General features: G+C 43.4%; 1 annotated feature.

Annotated features, from left to right (window-relative positions):
• Positions 5,036-5,891: an enhancer, noted in NCBI's record as "NANOG-H3K27ac-H3K4me1 hESC enhancer chr6:21393485-21394340 (GRCh37/hg19 assembly coordinates)". NCBI's record gives its function as "activates a minimal SCP1, AML or CMV promoter by ChIP-STARR-seq in naive H9 embryonic stem cells {active_cell/tissue: H9 hESC(naive)}" and the evidence as "EXISTENCE:reporter gene assay evidence [ECO:0000049][PMID:30033119]".

Below are 9,105 nucleotides of genomic sequence, written 5' to 3' on the forward strand. Positions count from 1 at the left end.
CAGGACACTAGGCTTTGGAGGGATCATTTACATTTTTGGTCTCTTGATGGACAGAGCTGCTGTCTGCTCATAAAGGCAGACGATGACTCTTTGTGGATGCCGCAGTGGGCAACAGCTCTTTCTGTGACTTGCCAAAGGTCATTTATCGAGCTAGGAAGGAACCACCATCTTTGGGATTTCAGTTGACCTTGTAGCCACAGGAGGCCCAGAGGAGGGTTTTTTCCCTTCAGTCTAACTTGTGTCACTTCCAATCAAATATTTGGCATCGAATCACTGGAAGATGATTTTTAAAACTTGCCCTATTTAAAGAGATTCCATTGATTTATCATGTTAATGCTGTAACTCAAATTCCCAACATGCAAATAAGAGTGATTTATGAAAACACTATCGTCTAAAATTATAACTCCTGAAGATGGGTATATTTTTCTTCTTTGGTGTCGAATCGCTCCAAACAAGCTCTGATTGCATTAACTATACATTACGCACTGAAAGGCAAACTCTCTTCAAGGCTAGGTTTTTGCACTTTCTTACTACAACTAAAAACATTTCTTTAAAAATTAAGTAAAATATTTGTATTTACAGAAAGTCAGATAATGGAAATTGTTCTACTTATTTTAGAATTTTAATATTCTAGTGAGATTAATATGTTAAAACCATTTAGTTTTTTTTCAATGGCCAAAATATATTTATCAGGTGCCTATGCTAGAGTACTATATTAGGCATTGTACAAAACAAACAAACAAACAAAAAAAAAACCAAAAAAAAACCCATGATTTTCTTGGAAGTAGTTTTCAATTTAGGGAATAAATTAGTATTTTTTTTCAAGTCCATAAAATTCATTTCAAAGTGATTTGAAAATTAATTGGCCGGTACGGTGGCTCAGGCCTGTAATCCCAGCAATTTGGGAGGCCGAGGCGGGCAGATCACCTAAGGTCAGGAGTTCAAGACCAGCCTGGCCAAAATGGTGAAACCCCGTCTCTACTAAAAATACAAAAATTAGCTGGGCGTGGCAGTGGGTGCCTGTAATCCCAGGTACTCAGGAGGCTGAGGCAGAAGAATCGCTTGAACCCAGGAGGTAGAGATTGCAGTGAGCCAAGATTGTGCTGTTGCGCTCCAGCCTGGGCAAAGGGAGTGAAACTCTGTCTCAAAAAAAAAAAAAGAAAGAAAGAAAGAAAAAGAGAGAGAGAAAATAAAAGAAAATTAATATCATTGGCTGTTTTTAAGTTCATCTTTCCCTCCTCTGTCATCTCACAGGTATTAGTAAGAACCGCTGTTACACTGCGTGCCACACTGAATTTCAACTATCCCTCTATCTGCTTTGTCTTCTCTCCCAGCCAGTAAGCTACTAAATGATTTTGGATGAATAAATAAACATCTAGGAATGGGAAAGAGAGCAAAATTGAACAAATAGTAATGAATTAGAGTAATCCTTTAAAAGGTGGAAATTATTGGAACAGATATGCAGTTTAAATAAGTTGCAGACTAAGATAGCAGCATAAAACATACAGGAATATGGCCGGGCGCGGTGGCTCAAGCCTGTAATCCCAGCACTTTGGGAGGCCGAGGTGGGCGGATCATGAGGTCAGGAGATCGAGACCATCCTGGCTAACACGGTGAAACCCTGTCTCTACTAAAAATACAAAAAATTAGCAGGGCGTGGTGCCGTGCACCTATAGTCCCAGCTACTCGGGAGGCTGAGGCAGGAAAATGGCGTGAACCCGGGAGGCGGAGCTTGCAGTGAGCCAAGATCGTGCCACTGCACTCCAGCCTGGGCGACAAAGCCAGACTCCGTCTCAAAAAAAAAAAAAAAAAAATACAGGAATATTTGCATCTTGTTCCCCCAAACTTAGTTAGGTTGCTTTTATTGGTGGAGGGTAACAAGAGTGGACATAAATGTTTCATTTTTGGACCATCAGAGTTTTTTTTTCCATTCAACTCGGAGAGATCCCACTCTTATTCACACCAGTATCATCTCTAGTGGGTCCTATTGCAATAGCCTCGTGGTGGGATTTTCCTGACTGCTATGGTCTAAATGTTTATGACCTCCAAAATTCGTATGTTGAAATCCTAGCCACCCAAGGTGATGGTATTAGGAGATGGGTGTTTTAGGAGGTGATTAGATCATGAAGGCGGAGACATCATGAATAAGATTAGTGCCCTTATAAAAGGGACCCCTGAGATCCCTCTCACCCCTTCCACCAAGTGAGGACACGGCAAGAGGTTGCTGTCTATGGGCCAGAAAGTGGGCCCTCAGCAGACACTGAATCTGCCTTAATGTTGGACTTCCCAGCCTCCAGAAGTGTGAGAGGCAAATTTCTGTTGTCTGTAAGCTATCTAGTCTATGGTATCCTGTTATAGCAGCCCTAGCCGACTAAGACACTCACCCCTCCACTCAATCACTCTCCAGATTATAGGCCTTATTAATGCCATCCTCCACTAAAGACCACCCAATGCCTCATCATCATTGTAAAAGAAAAGAAAGCCAAGCATCTCAGTATAACCCCCCTGCCGGGCTTCCTGACACTAATTGCCCATCTATCACCAAGTCAACCATGTAAGCTTCTTGCAGCCCTTGAGCTTGCCATGTTGTCTCATGCCTCCATGTGGACTATCCTTTCCTCTTGTAACCCCATCCCCAGCCTTCCAAACTCAGCTCAAAGGGTAAATCCCTGGAGAATCTTCCCTTCCTTTTCTCTCTTCCTTTCTGGATGACTTTATCTGCTTCTATTATAACCTCTCCTACTCCACTGGTGTTATTTTGCTTACATAATTGTCCCCGGTGTACTGGCCGGAACTGGGTCCAGTTCATCTCTGTGTGTCTGAGGATCCAGATGGTATGTGTTACATTGTCCACGCTTACTTCATATCTATGGGGATGAGTGAGTAAAGGAATAAATGTAGACTTCAATGGAGAGAGAGGATTGCAGGACATTTTTGAATGGCAGGGATGAGAGGTGTAGAATGGTCTTGAATTCCAAAGTATATGTGAACCTAAGTTCCAAATACTGTCATTATTTTTAGTGAAGCCCCCTTTCTGGTCCTGGAGCAGCGGTTCGCTAAGTGGCGTATTAGTCCGTTTTCACACTGCTGATAAAGACATACCTGAGACTGGGTAATCTATAAAGAAAAAGAGCTTTAACGGACTCACGGTTCCACATGGCTGAGGAGGCCTCACAATCACAGCAGAAGGCAAAAGGTATATCTTACGTGGCTGCACACAAGATAGAGAATGAGAACCAAGCAAAAGGGGTGTCCCCTCATAAAATCATTACGTCTCATGAGACTTATTCACTACCAAGAGAACAGTATGGGGGAAACCACCCCCATGATTCAATTATCACCCACCAGGTCCCTCCCACACTGCATGGGAATTATGGGAGCTACAATTCAAGATGAGATTTGGGTGAGGACACAGCCAAACCGTATCAGTGAACTCCCCAGACCAGCAGTGTCAGCATCGTCTGGGAATTTATCAGAAATGCAGATTCTCAGGCTCCACTGTAAACCCACTGAGGCAGAAACACTAGGGGTGGACTAGCAATCTGTTTGAACACGCCCTCCAGGTGATTCCAAGGCAGCTCCAATCTGAGAACCGTGGCCTTCAGAAGTAAGAAAGTCAGGCCAGGCATGGTGGCTCACACCTGTAACCCCAGCACTTTGGGAGGCTGAGGTGGGTGAATCACCTGAGATCAGGAGTTCAAAACCAGCCTGACCAACATGGTGAAAACCCGTCTCTACTAAAAATACGAAATTAGCTGGGCGTGGTGGCGCATGACTGTAATCCCAGCTACTCGGGAGGCTGATGGAGGAGAATTGCTTGAACACAGGAGGTGGAAGTTGCAGTGAACCGAGATCGTGCCATTGCACTCCATCCTGGGCAACAAGAGCGAAACTCTGTCTCAAGAAAAAAAAAAAAAAGAAAAGAAATAAGAAAGTCAGGATTTCATAATATGCTGGTGTCCTGGCTTGAATTCAGTGCAGATTAATAAGTTTCCACTGGCTTACCTGCATGAGGAAAACTGCTAGTGACTACCTTTCATGTACTAAGTTCCTAAGACTCCCCCATTCAGGTCTACTCTCCTTTCTTACCCTGGGTTTCCCACACCCCTCTGCTTCAAATGGCAGAACAGAGAGTTCTAGAGGATAAGATCTAGAGCTTTGATTAACATGAAAAGAGATAGCTGGAATGAAAAAAAAAAAAAAGCCTGTTTATGTTGGAACAAGTCTACTAGCCTCTGGGTTTGTCCTGCTGCATTGAGGAGAAGGAAGGAGACAGCAGCAGGTAATTGACAGATCACGGCCTGTGTTAGAATCCTACCTCCAGTTAGAAGCCGGCAGACTCCTTACCTTTCCTGGGCCCTACTTCACCAAATGTGGAAGGGAAATAATACTAACCACCCATGGGGTTATTGTGAGGATCAAATGGGACACCCCTTTATGCAGGAGCTCAACACACGCTGACCCCTTCCCTTCCCCCACCACTCGATAAAAGGCCTGGACTGGGCCAGATTCACAAGGGGATTTAAGGGCAGAGCTGAATCCCTCTTTTTGGTGACACTCTGAGGCTGGGTTCAGCAAGTTTTGGTGATAGAAGGACCCTGATAGAGTTGCAAGATAAAATACAGGGCATCCAGTTAAGTTTAAATTTCAGATAAACAATGAATAATGTTGTAGTGTAAGTGTGTCCTGTGCAATATCTGGACATACTTATGCAAAAATATTATTCCTTGTTTATCTGAATTTCGAAGTCAAGTCAATTGGGTGTCCTGCGTTTTTATTTGCTAAATCTGGCAACCTTGGGGTAAAAGCAAGTTCCATAGCACGACTTTTCTCCCCACTCCCTAATATTTTAATAAAGACCATTTCTGACTGGGCGCGGTGGCTCACGCCTATAATCCCAACACTTTGGGAGGCCAAGGCAGGCGGATCACCTGAGGTCAGGAGTTCAAGACCAGCCTGGCTAACATGGTGAAACCCCATGTCTACTAAAATTACAAAAAATTAGCTGGGCGTGGTGGTGCGCCCCTGTAATCCCAGCTACTTGGGAGGCTGAGGCAGGAGAATCGCTTGAACCCAGGTGGTAGAGGTTGCAGTGAGCCAAGATAGTACCATTGCACTCCAGCCTGGGTGACACAGCAAAACTCCATCTCAAAAAAAAATTCTGAGCAGAACATGCTGGTCACACCTCATGGGGAAACCTAGCACCAAAAGACACTGGGTGATGTGGAGTTGGAGGAGAGTCCCATCAAATTGTCTTGGAAATGTGGGAGAAGAAAAGGAAGGAAGGCTGCGGGCTGATGATGATGGTTCATGTCTCAGAGTCTTGCCTCCACCAGCAGAAAGACAGGAAGCCACCTCTTTCCCTAGCTCCCCGCCCCAGGCACGTCTGGAGCTACAGTTATGGTCATCTCCCTCCCCATTCCTGTGGACTTACAGCACAGCTCGAAGTCAGATATTTAAAGCAAGGAGCATTCTTTTTAGGATTTCATGACGCTATTTTTATTTCCCAAAGTGGTATCATTCTGGTACAGAGACTTCACTAAATCTAGCAGTTGAGTTGGAACTTAAAATATTTGCTTATTTTTACTCCTTTGAAAATGATTAGCAGTTGAATTATTTAAACTAGAAAGAGATGAGGGAGTTAGAAGGGAGGGCTGCCCGCCCCAGGCACAGCCAGGGGAGAGTGCTAAATGTGGTTATCAAGAGATCAAAGAACCAAGGAGAGACTCCTTTGATCTGATGCTTGTCAGAGTTGCAATTAGATCTTTGAGACGCTGCACTTGGCCTCCCCTCCCTTCTTCAGTATTTCTTCTTTCTTCATGGACACCTGGGAGTGCCAGACCAAGGCAGGTCCCAGAAAAAGCCGGTGTGGCTATGTGAGATCCAAGTGTGCCCTAGGACACGGGAGGCATAATCTTTCTCGGAGAAAATCCCTTTTATAAATGCATTAGCTTTTTTTTTTTTCTTTTTGAGATGAAGTCTCGCTCTTGTCGCCCAGCCTGGAGCGCAATGGTGAAATCTCGGCTCACTCCAACCTCTGCCTTCTGGGTGCAAGCGATTCTCCTGCCTCAGCCTCCGAGTAGCTGGGATTACAGGCACGTGCCACCACAGCCGGCTAATTTTTTGTAGTTTGTAGAGAGGAGATTTTGCCATGTCGGCCAGGCTGATCTTGAACTCCTGACCTCAGGTGATCTGCCCCCTTCAGCCTCCCAAAGTGCTGGAATTACAAGCGCCCTCCACCACACCCGGCTAATTTTTGTATTTTTAATAGAGACGGGGTTTCACCATGTTGGCCAGGCTGGTCTCGAACTCCTGGCCTCAGGTGATCCACCCACTTTGGCCTCCTAAAGTGCTGGGAATACAGGCGTGAGCCACTGCGCCCTGCCACAGTTGCTTATTTTTAAGGCCTGGGGGAAAGGTGAATGGGGTCCCTCACCCCCACACCCGTTATACCTGCAAATGCCTGTTCCAGTGTATGAGCTGATATGAATCACACTGTGCTTCCAATGCTTTCCCTTTGATACAAATAGGAAAGGTACCCAATTGGCTGGGACTAACTTTGGGGTTGTCTGGATTTTCCAAAGGTTTGAGAGTGGGAAACCCAGGTGAGGTCTGTCAAATCTAAGCAAAGTTGGCTTCACATCCAAGCCAAATTCTACCCCTACTGATTTCTGTGACTTTTTTTGCTAAACAATGTAAGACAATGCAATCAAACCTAGAGGTCTTCTCTGCCTTCCTGTTACCCTGAAAAGCGGCTCATGGGGGACTTTAAGATGTTATTTATGGCAATCCCCTAAGCAGCCTCAGTCTTACTCTGATGATTTTTTTACACGATTTATACCAGTCCAAAGAATTCAAGAATAATGGGTATATTTCTGCAGCTGAGCCAAACATTTCTTCTCTATCAGTCTGTGCATGACACAGAATGTCTTGTGGTTTTAATATTTGTTTCCCTAATGGACAAGATTTGATAAATGTGTTTCCTAATCCCGAGCTATTGAAATATTGATTCTCATCCTGACTGGCCTCCTGGGAACGGAGCCAGCATATCTGCATCTCTGGGCTCTGAATTTAGGCTATTGCCCTGCTGGCCTAGCCTGTGAACACAAGGATGAGATTAGATTTGCTTGGGGGTGGGAACTGTAAATCCCAGTGAAATAGCTGTCTGGCCTCATTTCTATTTGACAGAATAGGGCAGCCATTCCCCACATTTTTGGCCAGTGTTATCATGTGTTTACCTGAATATCCTTCTTGCTTCTTTCTTCCTATTTGATTTTAATGTATACAGGCTGTCCAGTGAAAAGAAGAAAAGAAATCCTAGCTAAAGATTCATTTGAACTTCTGAATAGGATTGTCTGAAGGATGTAAAATATTTTACAAGGAATTCCAGAAAGATGAATAACTCACACCATGCCAAAAATGTTACCTGACATGAAAAAATATTAGAGGCCTTTCCATTACTTCTGTGACCTTTGAATGGAGATGAAAGATGGTTTGGACCCATGCTATCACAACCTGGTGCTGGACATAGTATCTGATAGGCTGTAATTCCATCCCATTTGAAGACGGGTGGGGAATATGTGTGACTGTTTATCATACATCCATTCAACCTCTTCAGACCATGACAATATTTAGGAAAAAGAACACAGGTGAACCCCGAGGAGATGAATACACCTTTTTACAACATGCTTAATGTCTTCTAAATATTGCTTAGAATATTTAGAATATTGCTTTTCTTCATCCCATTTCTTCCACCATTTTCCCAGTTTGGGCTATCACAATAGTCCCCTAGATCAGGATGATAACCTCCTAATTGGCCTTTGTCCCATATTTATCTCCCATCCTGTAGCCAAACTGAGGTCTCGAAAGTGCCTACCTGTGTACAATCCCCTAGCGTTCCCTATTACCCTCAGTCCCATGTTTCTTATCTAACATATATGGTCGTCCATGATCTGACCCATCTCCCTTTGCGGACTTGGTTTCCTTCCAATCCCATCTTGAACTTCACCTTCTAGAAACACTGAAATGCTGTTATCCCGGTTTGCCTTTGCTCATGAAGTTCATTTTTCTTGGAGGTCCATTTCTTTCTCTTTTCCTTGGCTTTCCTTCTCTGTGACTGGATATCTCCTCCAGGAGTCCTCCACAATGGCCTCCTCTCCTGACATTAATGGCCTTTCTTTTGCACTTTCTTAGCAGTACCTGTGTTTGGTTCCATCACTGCCATAACCACAATTACTGATCCCTTGGCCCATCTATCTCCTTGGTGACATTGTAAATTCCTTGAGAGTACATACATGCCTTTTCCACATTTGTAACCACAGTGACTGTGACTCACTCAGTGCATAATGCAGAGTATTTTGAACTAAATTCAGGAGAAGATTCTGCAAGTAGAAACAGGAATAATAAAGTCAAAAAGAAATGGGCATTGTTAACATTCTGATTTTGGTAACAACCCTTTAAGGAAAAATTATCATCACCATTTTATCAATGAGGAAACTCAGAATCACAGTGATTAAGAGTTTGGCTAGGAGTCACAGAAAGCAAATGAAAGAACCCCAACTTGACTGTGAGCACCTCCAGGAAAGGATCAATAAAGATCAATAAAGATTTGTTGAATTGAACCAGTTGCTAGAATATCAGCAAGCTTTGCTCTGAGTAGGTTCATCATCAGATCACATGTAGGAAGAGGCTCTCTAAAACCCATCTAATTTGTCCTCTTGTTTGTGTAGGGTTATCTTAACAGTACCAGTTTGACATAGTAAAAATTAGTTAATAGTCTCTTGGATTTAAAAAAAGTTATTTATTAGTCCACTCAGCACTCGGCAAGTATTTATTGAATACTTATTATATACCAGGCACTGTGTGTAGAAGAATGTGATTTAAAGCAAGAAAACCTGCCCTAATGAAGCTTGTATGGCAAATAATCGGCCTAGAAAAATTCCTCTAATAATGTAGAATGTACTAACCCTTGACTCACCAGTGAATGAGATATTTTATCAACTGGACTCATGTAAATCATGCACACTGGTGGCACAAATAGCTAAAGCCAGAAGCATTTATGAACCACCAAAGAGTTCCTGGATCTTTTGAGTTTGTTAGTTGCAA

The sequence above is a fragment of the Homo sapiens genome, chromosome 6 (genome assembly GCF_000001405.40).
Source record: "Homo sapiens chromosome 6, GRCh38.p14 Primary Assembly".
Lineage (NCBI taxonomy): Eukaryota > Metazoa > Chordata > Mammalia > Primates > Hominidae > Homo > Homo sapiens.